The sequence below is a fragment of the Homo sapiens genome, chromosome 12, assembly GCF_000001405.40.
Source record: "Homo sapiens chromosome 12, GRCh38.p14 Primary Assembly".
NCBI classification, from domain to species: Eukaryota; Metazoa; Chordata; class Mammalia; order Primates; family Hominidae; genus Homo; species Homo sapiens.
In genome coordinates, this window is record NC_000012.12 from 109,137,584 (window position 1) to 109,161,210 (window position 23,627).

Consider the following 23,627-nt stretch of genomic DNA (forward strand, 5'->3'; position numbering starts at 1 on the left):
CAGGAGGCAGAGGTTGCAGTGAGCTGAGATTACGCCACTATGCTCCCACCTGGGCGACAGGGTCAGATTCTGACTCAAAAAAAAAAAAAGGATTTTTAGATACCAAATTGACCTGCTGAGCTTTGTGGTCCACTTTTGTAATGCTTCTAGTATATAATTGTGGCAAAATTGGTTCAGAAATTTCAACACATAGAGAGAGGTCCCATTTAAAAATTTTTTTTGAAATAGGGTCTCACTCTGTTGTCCAGGCTGGAGTGCAGTGGTGCCATCTTAGCTCATTTCAACCTCTGCCTCCTGGGCTTTTCTTTTCTTTTTCTTTTTTTTTTTGTTTTTGAGACCAAGTCTCACTCTGTTGCCCGGGCTGGAATGCAGTTGCATGATCTCAGCTCACTGCAACCTCCACCTCCAGGTTCAAGTGATTCTCATGCCTCAGACTCCCGAGTAGCTGGAATTACAGGCACCCACCTCCATGCCCAGCTAATTTTTGTATTTTTATTTTTAGTACAGACAGGGCTTCACCATGTTGGCCAGGCTGGTCTCAAACTCCCAACCTCAGGTGATCTGCCCGCCTCAGCCTCCCAAAGTGCTGGGATTACAGGCATGAGCCACCGCACTGGGCTCATTTTTAAAACAAGATTTCCTTCAAATAACAATGATCTACTCATTAGTAGGGCAGAGTTAGGGTGATAGAAAGAGGTGTGGCTTAGAGATTGGAATACCTGGGTTCATTCTTTCAATACACACTTGTAAGCCCTCATTGCATACCAGGCACTGGTCTAGACCCTGCAACAGAAAACAGTCTCCCGAGGCTTGTTGGGCTTCTATGCTAGTTGTAAGCATACCCCACACTGGGGATGATGGCGCCCTTCCTCCCTCCAGGGCCATGATGGTGACTGACTATATGATAATAATACTAGAATGATGATGATGATGACAGAAGCAACAATTCCCTTTCATTTATAAAGTGGAATATAATTAAGAGTCTTTAAAAAAAAAAAATAACAGCTTTGGCTGGGCGCGGTGGGTCACGTCTGTAATCCTAGCACTTTGGGAAGCCAAGGTCAGGAGTTAGAGAGCAACCTGGTCAACATGGTGAAATTCTGTCTCCACAAAAATACAAAAATTAGCTAGGCATGGTGGTGCATGCCTGTAGCCCAAGCTACTCAGGAGGCTGAGGCAGAATTGCTTGAACCCAGGAGGCGGAGTTTGCAGTGAGCAGAGATTGCGGCACTGCACTCCAGCCTGGGCAACAAAGGGAGACTGCATCTCAAAACAAAAAAACAAAAAAACCCCAGCTTTATTGAGAGATAATTCACATGGCATACAATCCACTCATGTAAAGGACAAGTCAATGTTTTTTAACTGTATTCACAGAGCTGTACAACCATCACCTCAATCTGCTTTAGAACATTTTCATCATCCCAAACAGAAACCCTACACTCTGTAGCCATCATCCCCATCCCACTAGGTCCTGGCAACCACTAATCTGTTTTCTGTCTCTCAAGATTGGCCTGTTCTGCACACTTCATATACTTGGAATCGTATAATATGTGACCTTTTGTGATTGGCTTCTTTAACTTAGCAGTTTTCAAGGTTCTTCCTTGAACCTTGGCAGGAAACTAAGATCCAGAGGGGTGAAGGAATATGTCCAAGCCTGTTTCAGGCAGAGCAGGGAGGAGAACCCCATCTCTCCCCTCGTCCAGTATTTCAGGAATACACAGCACCCCAACAGCCTCCTGCCCCACTAGCTTCTTTAGGAGAGAAATCACTTGATTATGTAAATCCTAAAATGTCTCTCCTTTTCTCCTTACAGATTTTCTGAATGGTCTTGCTTCTTTGTCTATCTTGTCTGATTTTCTCCTGTCTGACCTTTTCCTGGTTAAAAATCTGGGGGAAAATGACGGACTCCAAGCCGATCACCAAGAGTAAATCAGAAGCAAACCTCATCCCGAGCCAGGAGCCCTTTCCAGCCTCTGATAACTCAGGGGAGACACCGCAGAGAAATGGGGAGGGCCACACTCTGCCCAAGACACCCAGCCAGGCCGAGCCAGCCTCCCACAAAGGCCCCAAAGATGCCGGTCGGCGGAGAAACTCCCTACCACCCTCCCACCAGAAGCCCCCAAGAAACCCCCTTTCTTCCAGTGACGCAGCACCCTCCCCAGAGCTTCAAGCCAACGGGACTGGGACACAAGGTCTGGAGGCCACAGATACCAATGGCCTGTCCTCCTCAGCCAGGCCCCAGGGCCAGCAAGCTGGCTCCCCCTCCAAAGAAGACAAGAAGCAGGCAAACATCAAGAGGCAGCTGATGACCAACTTCATCCTGGGCTCTTTTGATGACTACTCCTCCGACGAGGACTCTGTTGCTGGCTCATCTCGTGAGTCTACCCGGAAGGGCAGCCGGGCCAGCTTGGGGGCCCTGTCCCTGGAGGCTTATCTGACCACAGGTGAAGCTGAGACCCGCGTCCCCACTATGAGGTAATGTGCATTTTCTCCTTGTAACTGAGGAGTGCAGAGTTCAGGTGGGGTCCACACCCTTCCCAACCTGTGCCCACCTTGATCAAGCTGTTTGCTGATGCCAAAGCTTCAAGGGTGGCTATGCACAAAAGGAGAAGACACGAGCCTTCTCAGAAGTTTCCTTCCTTCCTTCCTTCCTTCCTTCCTTCCTTCCTTCCATCCTTCCTTCCTTCTTTCCTTCCTTCCTTCCTTCCTTCCTTCCTTCCTTCCTTCCTTCCTTCCTTCCTTCCTTCCTTCCTTCCTTCCTTCCTTCCCTCCTTTCAAAATCATTCCTTGAGGCTGGGCACAGTGGCTCATGCCTGTAATCCCAGCACTTTGGGAGGCCAAGGCAGGCAGATCACTTGAGGTCGGGAGTTTAAGACTAGCCTGGCCAACATGGTGAAACTCCGTTTCTACTAAAAATACAAAAATTCACCAGGCATGCAGGCGTGTGCCTGTAATCCCAGCTGCTTGGAAGGCTGAGGCGGGAGAATCTCTTGAACCCAGGAAGTGGAGGTTGCAGTGAGCTGAGATCACGTCACTGCACTCCAGCCTGGGTGACAGGGCGAGACCTTGTCTCAAAAAAGGAAAAAAGGAAAGAAATCATTCCTTGTGCATCTACTGCATGCACAGGGCTCGATGCCATGAAACTGACTTTCTAGAAGACCTCAGCCTAGTTGGGGAAGATGACCTTGTGTTTAGTTATAATTTAAGCTGAATGAGCCAAGGCTGGCAAGAGCCACAAGTGATGATGGTAGTCTAGAGGGAGGGGCAGTTCTCTCTGCCTCCTGAAGAGACATTGATTCATTCATTCTTTTTTTTTTTTTTTTTTTTTTTTGAGACAGGGTCTTACTCTGTCACTCTGTTAGCTGAGTGTACTGGTAGGATCATAGCTCACTACAACCTCAAACTCCCGGGCTCAAGCAATCCTCCCACCTCAGTGCACTCCTGGGTAGCTGGGACTACAGGTGTGCACCACCACACCTAGCTAATTTTTAAATTTTTTATAGAAATGGGAATCTCACCATATTGCCCAGGCTGGTCTCCAACTCCTGGACTCAAGCGATCCTCGGTCTCCCAAAGTGCTGGGATTACAGGCATGAGCCACCACACCCAGCCCATTCATTCATTCATTCATTCAGCAGGTAACTGACAACTGAAAAACCAGCCTTCCCCCAGTGATGCCTGAAAAGCAGAAACTCAAACACTCTAAAGGTCTCCATCAATTTGATTGTTGGAAATGAATGCCTGTAGGTTCATAACAGGTGGGACTATCCCAGCGGCTGCAGTCAGTGGCTTTGTTGTTGATGTTGTTGTTATCCACCTTCTCCTCTGCCATCCCCAAATTACAAATGGAATACAGCACTTCCAGGTAGAAAATTTGGGAAATATAGGAGAACAGAGAGAAGAAAAGAGCCACCAACCAAAACTTCACCAGCCAGAGGGAAACCTCTGTTCTCATTGTTCTACTTCTTCCTTCTAGTGTGTTTTTCTCCTCTGGAGTGAAGTTTTACTGGCTATTCTTTTAAGCATCTCCTGTACTCTCTCCCAAATTAGAAAAATCTAGAGGTGGTCTTCCATACATGTCCATGTTAGCAGTGAGCTTGGTTTTAACCCTGGTAGCTGGAAGTAGAAGACAGAGAAAAAGGAGGAGGAAAGTATTCCATATACTGAAACTTTTCAGGGGAAGAGTGTTTGAGTTTCTAGAAGGGTTAAGGGAAGAGAAAGTCTCAGAATCTAGTACAAAGAGCACAGTCTGTGGAGTCAGCTGGAGTGGGGTTCAGTCTTTGGCTCTGCCACCCCCTACTGTGTGACCTTGGGCATGACCCTTCACCTCTCCAGGCCCCAGTACCTCTGTAAAATGTGGAAGGGATTAAATGGGATAATGTAGGCAGGCATGGTGGCTCACACCTGTAATTCCAGCACTTTGGGAGGATGAGGCAGGAGGATCGCTTGAGGCCAGGAGTTCAAGACCAGCCTGGGCAATATAGTGAGACCTCATCTCTAAAAAAAAAATTAAGAATTTGCCAGACATTGTGGTGCATACCTATAGTTCTAGCTACTTGAGAGGCTGAAGCAGGAGGGTCACTTGAGCCCAGAAGTTTGTGGTTATAGTGAGCTATAATTGTGCCACTGCACTCCAGCCTGGGCAACAGAGCAAGACTCTGTCTCAAAATAAAAAAACAAAAAAGAATGTATCAAACCAACAAACTTATAACATGATTATTATTATTACTATTTCCTGAGTCTTGGATGCCAAAATAGTCGTGAAGATTAAATGAACTAATATTTCTCAGGTACTTGGCAAGAGAATAAAGCATCCATATTTGGTAGATAATAAATAGAAAGGGGGGCAAGTCTCCCACCTTTCCACCCACTGTCTTCCTGCCACCATTTTGAGGGGTCTTTACTGGTTTGAGCTTAAACCAAGGTTTTTCTGAGCTGGTACATTTATAAAGGCGAAAACTATCTCTCTCTTTCTCTTTCTTTCTTCTTTTTTTATTTTTTTGGACAGAGTCTCACTCTGTCACCCAGGCTGGAGTGCAGTGGCATGATCTTGGCTCACAGCAACCTCTGCCTCCCGGGTTCAAGCAATTCTCCTGCTTCAGCCTCCCAAGTAGCTGGAATTATGGGCGTGTGCCACCACACCTGGCTAATTTTTGTATTTTTAGTAGAGACGGGGTTTCACCATGTTGGCCAGTCTGGTCTTGAACTCCTGACCTCAAGTGATCCACCCGCCTTGGCCTCCCAAAGTGCTGGAATTACAGGCATGAGCCATCACGTCTAGCCTACTTAACTATCTTTCATAGGGAAAATGAAACCAAAATGTTGAGTGAATTTCCTGCCCTCGTGTCTTCATGGCATAGAAACCTAACATTGTAGATCAATCTTTTATCCTTACTTTGTCCCAGCAAACAGCTGGCAGGAGGGACAGAGGGATCTTGGAAAGGCAGTGAATGTGGAGCTGAATGACATTGTAGGATTGTGGGCGATTCAAAGGCTATGATATGGTGAACGAAGGAGTGATGTGCTGCATGAACTTGGGTGAGTCCCTTCCCCTCTCTGAGTCTCCAATTTATCATCTTTAGAATGAGGAGGCTGAGGCTGGGCCTGATGGCTCATACCTGTAATTCCAGCACTTTGGGTGGCCGAGGTGGGTGGATTGCTTGAGCTCAGGAGTTCAAGACCAGCCTGGGCAACATGGCAAAACCTCATCTCTACAAAAAAATATAAAAATTAGCCAGTTGTGGTGGTATGCACCTATAGTCCCAGCTACTAGGGAGGCTGAGGTGGGAGAATCACTTAAGCCCAGGAGGCAGAGGTTGCAGTGAGCTGAGATTGCCCCACTGCATCCCAGCCTGGGTGACACAGGCAGACCCTGTCTCAAAAAAAAAAAAAAAAAAAAAATGAATGAGGAGGCTGCACCAGACTCCTGAGATGTGACCTGTGGCCCTAAAGCTCACTGACATACAGTTAGTTATTTTGTCCCCGGTATGTGTGCATTTTCAGAGTTGAGAATTTAGAATTTTAGCACCCAGGGGCAATGCGGGTGGTTCTGCTGGCACCTCCTGAGACACTGGCACTTCCTCAAGGAACATTCCCAGCCCCAGAATCAGGGGCTTCTGACAGAGAAGACTCATGTGTGCTTGTTGTTTCTAATGAACTGTAGTGAGAATCCCACATCAAAGAATCTTCAGGGAGTCAAGCCTTAGACATGTGTGCTGGTGCCTGCTGCCTCTGGTGTTTGACTGGATGAAAAAATTATGTCCAAACCTGGTGTTCCAGCCTGTTGGAAACAACGCATATCAAAATGAGGCTGAGGTCCAGCATGGTGACTCACGCGTTTGGGGAGACTGAGGTGGGAGGATCCCTTGAGCCCAGAAGTTTGAGAGCAGCCTGGGCAACATAATGAGACCCTGTCTCTACAAAAAATAAAAATAAAAAATAAAATGAGGCCAGGTAAGGTGGCTCACACCTGTAATCCTAGTACTTTGGGAGGCTGAGGTGGGTGGATTGCCTGAGCTCAGGAGTTCAAGACCAGCCTGGGCAACATGGTGAAACCCCATCTCTATTAAACTACAAAAAATTAGCCAGGCATGGTGGTGCACGCCTGTAGTCCCAGCTACTCAGGAGGCTGAAGTGGGAGAATCGCCTGAACTCAGGAGGTGGAGGTTGCAGTGAGCTGAGATCACGCCACTACACTCCAGCATGGGCAACAGAGTGAGACTCTGTCTCAATAAATAAATAAATAAATAAAATGAGGCTGAGCATTTTATTATCTTGTAGAGCTTTTGGCTTTGGATTTTGGCATCTTTGGGATCCGTGGTAGCCTGGTGTTTGCTGGTTACCCATTGACTCTTTTGCACACATACAGGCAGGGTAGTAATACCTCTTCCCTGGTGTTCACAGGTCAACACCCAAGCAGTTTTGGGTGTAGGCCATGGAAGGTGGTGTCAAAAGACAAAATCACAGCAAATTTGATTTAAAACTCGAATTGGCTTTTATTTACAATTCTAGGATCATGCAGCACCTCATTCTGTAAAATAGAATGGGTCTTCCGAAGAGCTGAGCAGAGAGGAGCTTGGCTTTATAGGCAGAACAGGGCTGAAGAAAGCAGAAACAAGGGACAAAGGGGAGCTTCATAGTTTCTTTCTTTTTCTTTTTCTTTCTTTCTTTCTTTTTTTTTTTTTTTTTTGAGACAGAGTCTTGCTCTGTCACCCAGGCTGGAGGCTGGAGTGCAATGGCACAATCTCGGCTCACTGCAACCTCTGCCTCCCGGGTTCAAGTGATTCTTCTGCTTCAGCCTCCTGAGTATCTGGGACTACAGGCACATGCCACCATGCCTGGCTAATTTTTTATATTTTTAGTAGAGATGGGGTTTCACCATATTAGCTAGGCTGGTCTCCATCTCCTGACGTCGTGATCCACCTGTCTAGGCCTCCCAAAGTGCTGGGATTACAGGCGTGAGCCACTGCGCCCGGCCCGCTTCATAGTTTCAAAATGACTTTCCCTTCAGGGTTAAAACAAATGCAACTTTCTTATCATGTTGGCTCAGGTACACTGGACCCCTTCTGATTGGTTGCTATTGTTTTTTGGAAAACTGGTCAGTTTCAAAGTTCAGACTGATTGCGAGGCAGTTGGCCAGGAGTGATCCGTCGTTTTGGTTTGGTCTGTAGGGGCTAAGCACAGGAGCTCAGCTCAAAATCATGGCCTCCCATATATTAAAATTTTGTTTTAATTTTTTAGATTTGGGGGGTACAAGTTCAGTTTTGTCACTTGGATATAATTCCCAGTGGTGAAGCCTGGGCTTTTACGAGCCATTGCTTGCATAGTGTACATTGTATCTATTAGGTAATTTGTCATTCCTTACCCCTTCCCACCATGCCACCTTTCCAAATCTCCAGTATCTATTATTCTACTCTTTAGGTCCATGTGTACACTTTATTTAGCTCCACTTATAAGTGAGAACAAGCATAAATTATATTTAAGGGTGGTGCATGCAGGCCAGCCAGCCAGTTGCCTGTAACCAGCTGGAGCACTGAGGAAAGGAAGCCTGACCCAAAAAGGCAAATACAGTGAGCAAGAATCCCTGTTAGCTGAATCCAGGAACTCCTTCTGAAAAAAAATATTATTTTTCTTGAGGCCAGGCACGGCAGGTCATGCCTGTAATCCCAGCACTTTGGGAGGCCGAGGGGGGCGGATCACAAGGTCAGGAGTTTGAGACCAGCCTGGCCAACACGGCAAAACCCCATCTCTACTAAAAAAAAAAAAAAATAGAAAAATTAGCTGGGCGTGGTGGCAGGTGCCTGTAATCCCAGCTCTTCAGGAGGCTGAGTTAGGAGAATCACTTGAACCTGGGAGGCAGAGGTTGCAGTGAGCCAAGACCACGCCACTGCACTCCAGCCTGGGCAACAGAGTGAGACTCTGACTCGAAAAAAAAATTATTATTATTTTTTCTTGATAAGTTGCTAAATAATCTGTATCCTCTGGCAAATCTTCTAACCGTTTGAGGTCCTGTTTCTGCAAAATGGAAGCAGGGGCTAGAGGTTTAAGCTAGTCCTTCCAGACAGGATCCAACCCTTGCCCCATTTCCAAGACAAACAACTAAGGCCTGGGAGAAGAGGCCAGGGGTATTTATTTGAGGGTTCTGACTCACGTGGAAGCCACAGTGAAGAAGTGACTTGTATTTGTGGATCTGCTTCTGCTCTCTGCAGTTTCCTTGGGCAGTCACTTCACTGCTGCTCTGCCCTGGAAGGCCACTTCCTACATTCACCTCTTCCTGCCAGGCCAGTAGCTGGGAGACTGGCAAGGCAAGGATGGAAAATGCTTGTGTTAAGTCTGTGATTTGGGAGGAAGCTCTTTCTGAAGCAGTCTTCAAGGGGCTGTCTCCTTCCTGCAGTGCCCAGAGCATCCCAGAGTTCTCACAACTGTGTTCCTGTTTTGGGAGTTCGCACTGGGTTCCCTCTGAACTGAAACACTCTCTTTCTCCCAACCCCTGAACCCAGACCTCCCACCAGGGCCAGCTTCACAGGCATGCCCTGTGCTTCAAGGGACCCCGTGCTTGTTTTGACGCTTTGTTGTCGCCGTCTTGAGATTCTTTTTTATTTTGTTTTTTGAGACATGATCTTGCTCTGATACCCAGGCTGGAGTGCAGTAGCATGGTCATGGCTCACTGCAGCTTTGACTTCCTGGGCTCAAGTGATCCTCCCGTCTCAGCCTCCTGACTAGCTGGGACTACAGGCACGTGCCACCACAGCTGGCTAATTTTTTTATTTTTGGTAAAGATGAGGTTTTGCCATTTTGCTCAGGCTGGTCGGAATCTCATGAGCTCAAGCAATCTGCCCACCTCGGCCTCCCAAAGTACTGGGATTACAGGAATAAGCCACTGCACCCAGCCCCAAATTCACAATAATTTTTCAACAAGGGGCTCTGTGTTTTCATTTTGCACTGGGTCCTGCAAATTCTGTAGCCGGTCCTGCCTCTACTGCTAGCTCTTTGCCCATCAGAGTCACTTCCTCAAAGGGCCTTCCCTGTCCCTTTCTCACATTTAAAAAATCTACCCCCCAATTACCTTCAGTATCTTTATCAATCACTCTGATTAGTTGTCTTTGCAACATTTAATTATTTCTTGAGATTATGTCTGTTTTTGTTTGTTTGTTTGTTTGTTTGTTTTGACACAGTTTCACTCTGTCACCCAGGCTGGAGTGCTGTGGTGTGATCTCAGCTCACTGCAACCCCACAGGCTCAAGAAATCCTCCCACATCAGCCTCCTGAGAAGCTGGGACTACAGGCATGCATCACCATGTCTGGCTACTTTTTTTTTTTTTTTTTTTTTTTTAGTATTTTTAGTAGACACTGGGTTTCACCATGTTGGCTAGGCTGGTCTTGAACTCCTGAGTTCAAGCAATCCACCCACCTCGGCCTCCCAAAGTGCTGGGATTACAGGTGTGAACCTCCACAACCGGCTCCTAAAAGATTACGTCTTTTATTTTTTTATGATCTACTTGGTTATTACCTGTCTCCCTACACTGGAAGCAAGTTCCGTGAAGCCAGGGCCATAGTTATAGTGGTCTCTGTTTTTCCCCACTGCCTAGGCTGGTGCTGGCTCATGGTAGGCTTTGAATATCTGCTAAATACATGAATGAAATGAGCTGCAACAAGCTTGCCAAAGACAGAATTCTGCATTACGGGGGAATGTAAAACATGTGATGAATGAGTGTGGGAATGGATGAACGAATGGATGAATGAATGGATGAATGAATGAATGGATTAATTAATTAATTAACAGGTGAATAGGCATTTTATAGTTGTTGCTCTTTAGCAGCAGTAAATTTTTGTTTTCATAAAATTCTTTCTCCTTGTATCTTGTGACTTTGGAGACTAGTTCTGGGGTGAAACTCCAATTTTAAATTTTTCTTCTGTCTTTGATAGGATCATGCAAACTCAGCCTTTCTCTCCTTTCTCCCAGCTGGCAAGGGCTGGCTGAGAATATGAATCCAACAACCTCGTTAAGCTCTCTCCTCCCATCTCCTCCCCTTTGGGTTGATCTCAGGGCAGGGATTAGAACTTGGCCTTTCCTTGGACTTGGAAACAGTCCCTGAGGTTTGGAAATCCCATGCAACACTTAGAAACAGAGCTAATGAGAACATTACATGATGTGGCAAAATCACTGCTTACATGCTCTGAAATGAGCACGGTTACAAGAACCTCCTGTTCTGTGTGATCCCATTTTGTTGGACAAACAGCATGTGGTTAGTAGTGCATAGTGGGCCTATGATGAGACACTCAGGTTCAAAGCTACCTCTTCCTAGCTTGTACCCCGACTTAGTATGACCCTGTGGGGTGCGCATGTGGACTGAATGGAATGGGACAGGTTCAGGATTGCTGAGATTGCAGCTGGAATCCTGAAACTTAAAGCTATGAAATTGAAGTTCATAAATTAGTGGTGAACTCATTTGGCAGCAAAACCTGTCCTGAATTGATGTGAGGTTATGTATAGTAATTATTTATCCTATTCTGCTGCTGAAATATTAATATGATAATGTGGAACAGAAAGTTTTACCTTCCTAAAAACAATAATTTCCAAGTTCCAAAACATATCAGGCCCTGGGAATTTCAGATAAGGGATTATGGACTATATATAACATGCTTAGAATAGTTCCTGGCATATAGTAAGCACAAAAAATGCTTCTGCTTAGTAAATGTGCCTAATAAATGTGTGTGTGTGTATGCGTATGTGTTTGTATGTGTGTGTCTTAGAGGGACTGTAAAGAGTGTCTCCAAATAGTAAATAATCATTTTATGTGGTATGATTATGAGTGATTTAAATTTTCTTCTGCATTTTCTAACTTTCTGCTCTAAATGTCATTTTATAATGCATTTTAACAATGTATAATAATAAAACAGTATAAAAATATTGGGAGAAAGAGTAAACCAATCATCTCACTTCCTAGATAGGAAGCTGAAGCCCAGAGACATTCCAGGCCTCTCAGCAAGGTAATCAGAGGCCCAGAGCACCATTTGAACCCAGACCCTCGTTAGATGTGGATGTGAAATCAGTCAACGAACTGCTAGTATTAGTGTCACTGCCTAACCTTCCCCCAGCGGGTAAGAGGCTTGGACTCCAGGACGGGCACCTCCGTCCTCCTCCTAACTTGTTCTTTCTATTAGTGGGAAGGGTTGGGAGATTAGGGTAGTTTATGGATAACCTTTAAGTCGTATGAGCTTGAGGACATCATCTACCTTCTCAGGGGCCAGACTGGACACTCTGAGGTTCTTTGTGGCTCTAACAGTTGGTGGCTTTGTTCCTTTATATGTGGAGGAATGGACAGCAGGGAGGGGGCTGGGAGATAGAGAAGGAGAGTAGCTGGAAAATGGCAGAAAAGTTTGTTAATTTACAGGCAGGCTGAAGCGGGAGGATCGTTTGAGCCCAGGAGTTTGAGGCTGCAGTGAGCTATGATTGTGCCAGTGTACCCCAGCCTGAGCAACAGAGCAAGACCCTATCTCTCTTAAGGAAATTGTTAATTTAGAACCATTTTCTCCCTGGTAAATGACCACAGATAGTCTGGGTTCTAGGCAAGAGAGAGGACACACTAAGGGATGAAATGGTAGGTGGGGAAGTCAAGGTTTGTCCCATCCATTCGTTGGCCCAGGAGCAGTTATTGCAACCCCTCTGGGTGCCAGGCAGTCAGTTGGCACTACAGATGCAAAGATGGTGAGATACAGCCTCTGTCCTTAGGGAGACCAGGGCAAGGGGTCTGAGAGCCCACAGGCCAGGGCATTCCCCATCATTTTTACAGAGAGAGCTGTGGAATAGTTAAGAGCACAACACGCTGGTGGCTGAGGCTGGGGGCTGGTGTGCTGGCTTCTCCACCTAGCCATCATGTGACTTGGGGCCAAGTTCTGTGATTTTCTGTGCCTCAGTTTCCTCTGAAATGAAGTCATCGTGTTACCTCCCTCACAGGGTTGGGATCAGGCTTCATTGAGTTGCTGTAAGTACAGCACTCGAAGCAGCACCCATGGTGCGATCATGGTCATTAGATCCAGTGCACGGCATAAGAGCCCAGGACCCACAATCAGGTCTGGATTCAGACCTCTCCTGTTACCTGTCTGAGCTGCAATTTCCTGCTCTGTTGAGGCAGGATAATACTAGTGCCTACTTTAGGAGATTGTTGAGATCGAGTGGGAGCAAGTGCTGGGGGTGGACGGCCCAGAGGTGGTTCAGTAGCCATTAGTTGGGTGGGCTTCTTCCAAAGTTCTTGCCTGTGCGCATGGTTATTCCCAAGCCCTGGCCGGGCTTACATCTTAAAGGTGTAGCAACCTGTGTCCACGGAGGAGGAAGAGGATTGAAAAGGCAGGTGAAGTGTCCCGATAAAAGGATAAAGTCCAAAACAGCAGATGGGTGCTGAAGTGTTCCTTCCCGCCACCATTTACGACCATGTTGGGATCACTGAGGTAAGAACAGTTTAGCAAGGCAGACCTTGGATCCCAGGAAGGCAAATGAGGCTCTGTGGGGTCTGGACATACAGAGGGGGCCCTGCAGGCAAAGGTAGGTGAAGGAATACCAGGAAAGGGAGCTGACACCAGGGACCTGGCATCGCCCCCACTTTCCCAGATAGCAGACTGGGTGGGCTTGCAGTGCAGCCTCCCAGCTGCTTGTTCGTCATCCCAGCCCACATCTCTTATCGGCTCCAAGCAAGGAACAGGTCAGGAAACTAAATTGTCTATGCATATTTTTATGCGCCCCTGAGTGAAATGCCAAGGATCTTCCTGTAATGTTTAATTTATTCATTTATTGACTTAGGAAGGGGCTGGGAGAAACTCTCTTTTCAAGTCTCTTTAGCTCCTAAAATGTTTACTTTTTCTTTTTCTTTTTCTTTTTTTCTTTTCTTTTCTTTTTTCTTTCTTTTTTTTTTTTTTGAGACGGAGTCTCGCTCTGTAGCTCAGGCTGGAGTGCAGTGGCACAATTTCAGCTCACTGCAACCTCTACCGCCCGGGTCCCGGTTCAAGCAATTCTCCTGCCTCAGCCTCCCGAGTAGCTGGGATTACAGGCATGCACCACCATGCCCAGCTAATTTTTGTATTTTTAATAGAGACAGGGTTTCACCATGTTGTCCAGGCTGGTCTTGAACTCCTGACCTCATGATCTGCCCTCCTTGGCCTCCCAAAGTGCTGGGATTACAGGTGTGAGCCACTGCGCCCGGCCTCCTAAAATGTTTTCTAGGAGCTTGGGGGAAAGAGGATCCCTGTCTTTGAGTTGTTCTTGTATTAAGTTAATACAAGGTACAGAGCAACTAACCATTCATACATTCCCCTCCCCCTTAAGCATCATTGCCCTATTTTAGAAAAATTATTCACTTCTGCTCTATACTTAATGTAACACAGTCCCCCCCACCCCATATATTGAAAGAGATTATTTCATTTTGCTTTTCTGCAAAAATGAAGGCAAATTGTATGTGGATAATTTTATAGTTGAGGAAGTGGAGAGACGGGATTTACTTAAGGTCATCCGTGAGGGGAAGGGTAAGTTCAAGCCCATGGATGGCACAGTCTTTCTACCACGCTGCTGGCCACATGCATGCGGATTTTCTTGTTGATTTTGTGTGTGTATTGTTCATTGACCTGGGTTTTCCCTCTGCAATACCAGTAAGTAAAATTGAGCTTCTAGTAAGTCTGAGAGGAAGGGCTTAATGCATGAGACAGCAACTACCACCATGCTTGAACTGTTTCATCAAAAAGCACAACAATGGATGTTTGTATAAAGGTGGTGTTGTGCTTGGAGGTGGATATTAGGTTGGTGCAAAAGTAATCGTGGTTTTTGCAATCCCTTTTAATGGCAGAAACTGCAATTAGTTTTGCACCGACTGAATATTATTCATTTCTTTCCGTCTTCTATTCCCTAATAATGCAATTAGAGAAAAATGCAAGGTCATGATCACTGTGATGAAATGATGAGCCCACCCATCTAAATGAAATCCCTTATTTGAGACCCTGGGTCATAGTGAGATGTGTGAGGCTGTCTTTCAGGCTGTATTAGCAGAGAAGTGAGAATATCTATACAGTGTTTAAGTAGTGTTGGGGTTTTTGCAATAGAGAATAAAAATCTAGAGCAATACAAGTATGCTGGCAAGCAGTTCTCTTCTGCATGATCCTAACTGACTTTGGTAGGGTTGGGGTATTTTGAAATATCTTCATTTCTTGATTTTCATTGCTTTCCCTATTTTGAGGTGGTTACATTTACACTGGGGATATTTGGGGGATGAATACTTGTTGGTTTTGGTTTGAATCTCTAAAAATCAGGATACAGTGGGTTACTTTTTTGGAGGAGGTGAAGACAAGGCTGTGAACACCTTCCCAGAAACTTGAAGAACTGAGAATTTTGTTTATCTGTTTTTTTTCTTAAACCTGTTGTTGAAATGTTATTTAATATATGGTCAGGGCATAGCTATCCACTGCTGTCAGGCATGGCTGCTTAAACAGGGGCCCAGGGTGTTTATGTTGTGGCCAAGTACTTGGCACCCCCGGGAAGTGTGGCCCTGCCTGTGCCTTTTCTTTCTTTCTTTCTTTTTTTTTTTTTTTTTTTTTTTTTGAGAAAGGGTCTTGCTCTATTCCCCAGGCTGGAGTGTAGCGAGATCATGGCTCACTGCAGCCTCAGCTACCTGGGCTCAGGTAATCTTCCCGCCTCAGCCTCCTGAGTAGCTGGAATTACAGGTATGCACCACCACGCTGGCTAATTTTCATATTTTTAGTAGAGATGGGGTTTCACTATGTTGGTCAGGTTGGTCTTGAACTGCTGGCCTCAAGTGATCTGCCTGCCTCGGCCTCCCAAAGTGCTGGGATTACAGGTGTGAGCCACTGCACGTGGCCTTCCTGTGAAGTGAATTTTTAATTGTATTTTAAAATTTGTTTTCATGTTTTTGTTTGTTTTGAGACAGAGTCTTGCAATGTTGCCCAGGCTGGAATGCAGTGGCCTGATCTCGGCTCACTTAAACCTCTGCCTCGTGGGTTCAAGTGATTCTCCTGCCTCAGCCTCTGGAGTAGCTGGGACTTCAGGCCACCCCGCCACCACACCCAGCTAATTTTTGTAGTTTTAGTAGAGACGAAATTTCACCATGTTGGCCAGGCTGGTCTTGAACTCCTGACCTCAAGTGATCTGCCCACCTCGGCCCCCCAAAGTGCTGGGATTACAGGCATGAGCCACCATGCCTGGCCTGTTTTCATGATTCTGATACATTATATTTTTACACATTTATAGGATACATGTAAAATTTTGTTACATGCATAGAATGCATAATGATTGTAGGGACCAAGGGAATATCTTCTGCTTTGCCCTCTGAAGTTTCGCTGAAAAATTAACTTGTAAAAAGGCAGATTAGTTGGAGAAAAGACACACAAATTTAATTAATGTGTACACTGGGAGAACCGCAGAGTGATTACCCAGAAGGGAATTTACTGGCCAGCATTTACATTATTTTTGGTTGGTTTGTTGGCTATGAAAGTAGGCTACCTTTATTATTACTGCGATGACTTCTAGGTAGTGTTTTGGTTCTTTGCATTTATTACATTACTTGAAGAAGCATTCATTCATTTATTTTTGATTTTTTGAGATGGAGTCTCACTCTGTCACTCAGGCTGGAATGCAGTACCGCCATCTGGGCTCACTTCAACCTCCGCCTCTCGGGTTTTAGTGATTCTCTCTCCTCAGTCTCTCGAGTAGCTGGGACTACAGGTGTGCACCACCATGCCCGGCTAATTTTTGTATTATTAGTAGAGACAGGGTGTCACCATGTTGGCCAGGCCGGCCTCAAACTCCTGACCTCAAGCGCCTGCCTCAGCCTCCCAAAGTGCTGGTATTACAGGCATGAGCTACCAGGCCCGGCCTCATTCGTTTATTCTAACTGGAATCGGTTTGTCTGAGTTCAAGACCCTGGGCTCTGGCACTTCAGATAACATGCATCTCTGGGCCCCAGTTTCCTTATCTGTATTATAGGGATAAAAACAATAAGATTGCCACGAGGATTAAGTGACACAGAGGAACAAAGGAGCACTTAGTAAATGTTAGTCTTACCAGAAGTTTATTTCGGATCACCGGGCTGCTGGGGTCCTCCCTGTCCTGGAGGCACTCGCTTCAGTAGCGGACCCAGGTGGTGCAAAGTGCGTGCTAGAAGCACACTGGGTGATTGCGCAGCCACCTGTCCCAGGGAGTGGAGGTGAAAAGATGAGAGAAACCAGGACTTTGGGAAATAAAAGTCGACTTGACAACAGGGACTTTTAACGGGCACAGTGGCGACCTCTGACTCACATTTTAAATTTCCCATATTTTCCACCGCTTCCCTATCGTGTGTGTATTCAAGCATATCAATTGCTGCCAATATGTAGGGGTGTCCCATATTGGGGAGCAAAGCAGAAGAGAGGCTTTAAAAATATATATCTCCGCAGCTCATTTCGGCTGCCGAAGCTCAGCGGCGGGTCGGAGGTAGGCCGGCCCGGGGGCGGGGCTCCGTCCGGAAGGCGGGGCCCTCCTGGGGCGGGGTCGGTGTGGGGGCGGGGCCTGGGTGGGGCCTAGGCGGGCGCGATGGCCCGGGACTCTGGCGCGCAGGGTGCATTTCGGGATGGAGCAAGCGCAGCGCGAAGTTGGGCGCCCGCCGGCTGCAGCAGAACCCCGCCCGCGGCGCTCTAGGACTGCATCTCGGCCTCCGGGTCGCGACCTGGCTGTCCTGCTGGGTCCCGGGCCTCGGGTCGGCTTCAGGCGGTTAAGGGGTGCATGCTCTGCACCCCTGCGGGAGCCCGGTGGGATTGGCCTGCGGGGTGGTCAACATGAGTCCTGCCAAGTGCAAGATCTGTTTCCCTGATCGCGAAGTAAAGTAAGTAAGCCTGCAATTGTAATGACCATGATCTTTTACAAACTTACGCAGTCTTCCTTCCCCTTGAAGTCAAGCTGTGTGTCCTCTTAGCACCGCCCCCTTTACCCCCACCCCCATCCAAAGAAACACGGGCTTGAGTTGGCTGCTGGGGAGATGATGCCCGCCTTGGAAACTCTAGCTGGCCTTGGCGGGAGGGGAGGAAGGAGGCTGGACGTTGGGGGTGACGTTGCTTGGAGGAGGTCGCTTCGGAGCACACAGGTGCCTAAAGATCAGCCCTTGCGCAGGGGCACGCCTTCCCCGCTTTCTCTCCTTCGCCTCCAGAAGCTGATGGTTGTGGAAGGCAGGTCTCTTTTGAAGCTGAAGCCTGGGCAAATCGACGTGAACTTGAGCAGGCTCTCATTGAGGGTCATTTTCTGAGCAGATGAGCGTAGGCATCTCAGTGCCTGAGTGCTTTGTAGCTCTACCTACTTGGTTTTGTTTCTTTCCTTTTTTGTCCTCATTTTATTGCACTTAAAAAGAATTACCAAATTGATGGTGTGTCTGTTGTTGACAATTCAGAAAATTATAGATAAGCAAAAAAGAGGAACAAAAATCACCCATAATTCCACCCCTGTGATGTTTGTTAACAGTTGTATATTCTTCAGCTTTTTTTTTTTTCCGGTGCAGATATGTTTTAATTTATAAACTTGAATCATGCAGAACGTTCTGTAACTCACTTTTTCATTCAACATTAAGTATTTTTCTACCACTGGGCTTGGCAAACTATGACCCACTGCCTGTTTTGGGATGGCCTGCAAGCAGAGAATGGTTTTTTCATGTTTAAGTGATTGAAAAAAAAATCAAAAGAAGATTGTTTTGTGACACGTGAAAATTACATGAAATTCAAATTTCAGTGTCTACGAAAAAAGTTTTATTGGACTGCAGCCTGCTCATCGATTTATGATTTATGCCTAGTTCATGGCTGCTTTTGTGCCTCACTGGAGGATTTGAGTGGTGGGACAGAGACTGACCAGATCTAAAGTACTTACTGCCTGACCCTTGACAGACAATGTTTGCCAATCCCTGCCTACAACATGCTTTTACTGGATTCATAGTGTTCCTTTAAATGGGTGCACCTTAAAATGTATGAATAATCCTCGCCAGGCAGGGTGGTGCAAGCCTGTAGTCCCAAATACTCAGGAGGCTGAGGAGGGAGGATGCTTTTGCCCAGGAGTTGGAGGCTGCAGTGTGCTATGATCGTTCCTGTGAACAGCCACTGCACTCTAGCCTGGGCAACATAGCAAGACCCCATCTCTGAAAAAAAATGTGCCCAGGTGTGGTGGCTCATGCCTGTAATCCTAGCGCTTTGGGAGGCCAAGGCAGGAGAACTGCTTGAACTCGGGAGTTCGAGACCAGCTTGGGCAACATAGTGAGACCCCCATCTCTACTTAAAAAAAAATTAGCTGAGGATGGTGATGCATGCCTGGAGTTTCAGCTACTGGAAAGACTAAGGGAAGAGGATTGCTTGAGCCTGGGAGATCGAGGCTGTAGTGAGCAATGGTTGTGCTATTGCACTCCAGCCTGGGCAACAGAGCAAGACCCTGTCTCTTAAAAAAAAAGTATAAGTAATCCCCTATAAGTAGCGGATATTCAGGCTGTTTCTCTCTGTTTTTTTTTTTTTTTTTGGGGGGGGGCTATTATCAACAGCACAGTGAGGAATACCCCTGTAGCTGAATCTCTGCCTCCATCCTTTATTTTCTTAGGATATGTTTACCTGGTCCATAAACATTCATGCACACCTCCCATGCATAAGGCCTGCAACTGGTAGCAGGAAGGGTCGCAAAAATGGTTGGAAACCGTGACCTCCGCCCTCCAGGAACTTCGGTTCCATTGTGGAAGGCAGATGTCTTCTCAGTAACTCCAATTCGAGGCTGATGGGTGCAACAGTAATAGCCACTACCACTCATGGGGTGCTTTCAGTATGCCAGGCCAAGTGCTTTGTAGGTGTGGTCTCATGCCATCTTCAAAATACCACTGTGGGGGCACTAAGTGGAGAGTGTTGTACCCATTTCACAAACCACTTTAATGGAAAAAAAGAAAAACCTCACACAAATTTGGAATTGTCCCAGCAAGTCCAGGACGTGGGGTCCCCCTATTTATAATAATATGGACATACTTTGTTGGGGGACTACATTGTTCCTCTCTTAGCTTAGAGTGGCTAAAAAGATGGATTTGGACGATCTAACTTTGCCACCAAGCTGTGTGATCTTCTGGAGCAGGTACCATCAAGCCTTGGAACCTCAGTTTCCACATCTGTCCAAGGGACTAGCCCTCATAGGCCTTTCTAGAGTTGTTATTATTATTATTATTATTATTATTACAGACAGGGTCTTGCTCTGTTGCCCAGACAGTGGCATGATCATGGCTCATTACAGCCTCAGCCTCCGGGCTCAAGCAGTCCTCTCACCTCAGCCTTCCAAGTAGTGGGACCACAGGCATGCGCCACCACACCCAGCTAATTTTTGTATTTTTTAGAGAGACAGGGTTTCACCATGTTTCCCAGGCTGGTCTTGAACTCTTGAGCTAAGCAATCCTCACAACTCAGCTTCCCAAAGTGCTGGGATTACAGGCATGAGCCACCATGCCCGGCTCTTTCTTGGTCCGTTGAGACTCTGTGTGGAAGTCGCTGGTCTTGAGTACTGCCCTGGGTCAGCACAAACATTGATGAAAACTAATAAGTAAAGACAGAGTTCGGTTATGAAAGAGCCCTCTGGAGTTGGGAGGCATTTGGGATCTTGTGCTGAAGGCTCGGGCCATCTAAGAAGCCAGAACTCCTGAGAAGGTGAGGTCGCAAATGATGACTGATTTTTCATGGCATGAGAACGGGGTCACAGTTCAGAGAGTAGAGAAATGATTGTGGATCAGAGTGCAGAAGGGCTTGAAATAAAGTTGGGGATGAGGAGGCAGAAGTTGTTTTTTAATGAGTCCCATTTCACTGCCATGCAATTCTGCTCTGAAAGGCCAGCTGCCTGCATGCAAATATTGGCTGTAGACCTATCAGGGGTTTTCACTCTTGGCTACACATTAGAATTTCCTGGTGGGGAGATTTTTGAAAAATCTGGATGCCGGGGACCCCACCTCTACCCCCTAGACATGCTGATGGGACCCCGACATCAGAATCTTATAAAGTTTTTCATGTCAGGGTTGAAAACTCGTGCCTAGCTTGGGGTCAGCAGACTGCTATTATAAACGGCCAGACAGTAAATATTTTTGGCTTTGTGGCCATGTGGTCTCTGTTGTAACTACTCAACTCTGCTGTTTCCTGCACCAGAAGCCATAGTTATGTAATTGAACAGGCCTGGCTGTGTTTCAATCAGACATTATTTATAGATGGGGAAATTCAAAGTTCATATAATTTTTATGTGTCACAAAACAGGATTCTTTTGATTTTTTTTTTTTTTTCGATGACTTAAAAATGTTGGCTGGGCATGGTGGCTTATGTCTATAGTCCCAGCACTTTAGAAGACCAAGACAGGAGGGTTGCTTGAGGAGTTTGAGACCAGTCTGGGCAACATGATGAAACCCCGTCTCTACAAAAATAAACCAATTAGTTGGGCATGGTGGTGCACACCTGCAGTCCCAGCTACTCAGGAGGCTGAGGTGGGAGGATCACTTGAGCCCAGGAGTTTGAGGCTGCAGTGAACTATTTTTGCACCACTGCACTGTAGTCCTGGCAACAGAGGGAGACCCTGTCTCTATAAAAAACAAATAAGGCTGGGTGCGGTGGCTCACACTTGTGGTCCCAGCACTTTGGGAGGCCAAGGTGGGCAGATCGCCCTGAGGTCAGGAGTTCAAGACCAGCCTGGCCAACATGGTAAAACCCTGTCTCTAATAAAAATACAAAAATTAGCAGAGCGTGGTAGCACACATCTGTAGTCCCAGCTACTCGGGAGGCTGAGGCAGGAGAATCACTTGAACCTGAGAGGTGGAGGTAGCAGTGAGCTGAGATCACACCGCTGCACTCCAGCCTGGGCGACAGAGCAAGACTCCCTTTCGAAACAAACGAAACAAAACAAAAAACAATCTAAAAAGTTAAAACCGCTCTTAGCCTGTGGGAGATACAAAAACAGGTGGCCGAGTGGATTTGACCCATGGGTCCTAGTTTGCCCACTCACCCCTGGCCTAGCCAAGGTAGTCATCCCAGGGGGTACTGATGGGGCAGGTGGCTTGAGAAATTTCCAAGGGTCCATTTCTGGAGAGCGTGGTTTTGTGCTGTTTGAACGATATCAACCTTTACTGGGCTACACAGTGTTCTTTCTTGCTTTCTTGTTTGGAAGTAGTTGTAATTACAGAATTGCCTGGCTCAGAATCAGCTCTTAGCAGTGCGGGTAGCCGTTACCATCTCTATTTTATAGAAGAAAAGAGAGGGAAGAAATTGAAGGTCTGATTAATGCCGGGGCCCTAGCCTAATGGCCCAGCCTGGGCTCCTGTAATGCTATCCTGCAGACGTACATGGTAGCTAAAGTGTTGCAAGCTGTTTACTTTGGCTAGGTCCAGGGATAAACTGTTAATTCCATCATGTGAGGAAACTGAGGCAGGGAGTATTGAAGTAACTTTCCCAGGATTACACAGGTTATAAGCGGTAGATTCTGGCTTCAAAGCCTAGGAGGATGGCCGCAGTCTACCAGAGTTTCTAAACTGCGGCTCTGTTGACACTTGGGGCTGTCCAGTTCTTTGTGGGGCTGTCCTGTGCATTGCAGGGTGTTGAGCAGCATCCCTGGTCTCCACCCACTAGATGCCAGTAGCGCATCCCCCAAGTTGTGACAATCAAAGATGTCTCCAGGTATTGCTCCCCGGGGAGCAAAATTTCCCCCAGTTAAGCACTCAGGGCTGGGCGCGGTGGCTCACCCCTGTAATCCCAGCACTTTGGGAGGCCAAGGTGGGCAGATCACCTGAGGTCAGGAGTTCGAGACCAGCCTGGCCAACATAGTGAAACCCCATTTCTACTAAAAATACAAAAATTAGCCAGGCATGGTGGCAGGCACCTATAGTCCCAGCTACTCGGGAGGCTGAGACAGGAGAATCGCTTGAATCTGGGAGGCAGAGGTTGCAGTGAGCCGAGATGGTGCCACTTCACTCCAGCCTGGGTGACAGAGCTAGACTCTGTCTCAAAAAAAAAAAAAAAACCAACCAACCAAACAAAAAACCTCAGCATTATACATGTTTGTCTCTTATTTGAGAGGAATATAAGAGGCCATATGTGTAATGCATGTTTTAAAAGTCCAGTTAATAGAGGGGCTTCCATTTATCTCAGATTGTCTTTCTGCCTAGAAGTTAGATTCTGAGGTCAGCTAGAGTTGGATTTGAAACGGGGCTCTGCCACTTGCCAGCTGTGAAACTGGAGGTAAATGGTCCTCTCTGAACCTCGGTTTCCTCATCGTGAACCTGGAGATGACAGACTCCTCCATACAGGGCTGTGGAGATTCACTGAGAGGCCCCCTGTGCCCAGTCCATAGTGGGCAGCCGAGAATGTTTATTTCCTCCATTCCTGATACTATTCTGCCTGGTCTTGTGCTCCGGCAGCTGACTGCATTTGGTGTTTGGCTGACACCTCTGCTGTTGATTGTACCTGAAGTCATTTCCAAAGTCACCTTGAAACATTTCAGCTCTCACCCTTGCCGTGCTGTATAAGGACAGGGCTTCTCACTGGACAATGGCACTTAGGATGATCCTCCTTCAGTGGAAGCAAATGCTGGCCGAAGGTCAGCTCTCTAGAGCCAATGTTGGTTGGCTTCCAGCTTTATCAAAAAGAATTAAAATAGCCACTTGCCTGGAGATTGGGCCTGAAACAAGGCCAGTCCGGCAGCTTTGTGTGTTCGCTTGCCTAGCCTGCGGTAATGGGCTTGTGGCCTGCCTGATGGAGGGGCTCTGTCACCAGTTTCGAAATCAACATGGTGGCCAAGAATGGTTTTTTTGCCCCCTAGGCCACAAATGAAGTTTTTCTTTGTTGTGCTTTAGGTCAAATTGCTAGAGTTTTAATGTTTGTGTGTGTAGAAATGGGATGTCTCAGACTTTCTGAAGCTGAACCATCAAGCCAGCCAGTCAGGGAAGGTCGTGGACAGAATGAGGGGTGCGGCTGTGTGTGGGAATGTCGATTAGTACAACCTCTGTGGAAAACAGTTTGGAGAGTTCTCAAGGAACTAAAATAGATCTGCCAGTCTCTCCAGCAATCCCACTACTGGGTATGTACACAAAGGAAAAGAAATCACTCAGTCAGATTCGCTTTTCATT

General features: G+C 46.7%; 1 protein-coding gene across 18 annotated transcripts in view, besides 1 other annotated feature; it reads left to right on the top strand.

Moving 5' to 3' along the window:
- ACACB (acetyl-CoA carboxylase beta) overlaps positions 1–23,627 on the top strand; it is a 157,038-nt gene that overhangs the window by 26,395 nt on the left and 107,016 nt on the right. For 9 of the 18 annotated variants that reach the window (XR_007063072.1, NM_001412734.1, XM_011538263.4 and 6 more), the window contains one exon: positions 1,814–2,475. The exons of 4 other annotated variants lie outside the window; for them this stretch is intronic. Coding sequence is in view for 13 of the 14 variants with exons in the window: in NM_001412734.1 (NP_001399663.1) it covers positions 1,823–2,475 (653 nt within the window). In the remaining variant the exon portion in view is untranslated. Of the gene's footprint in view, positions 1–1,813; positions 2,476–17,095; positions 17,358–23,627 lie in introns of those variants that run through there. 5 more of the 18 variants (NM_001412736.1, NM_001412738.1, NM_001412739.1 and 2 more) reach the window with 1 other exon arrangement.
- Positions 16,912–17,071: a silencer, noted in NCBI's record as "silent region_4839". NCBI's record gives its function as "represses an Ori minimal core promoter by ATAC-STARR-seq in GM12878 lymphoblastoid cells {active_cell/tissue: GM12878}" and the evidence as "EXISTENCE:reporter gene assay evidence [ECO:0000049][PMID:35858748]".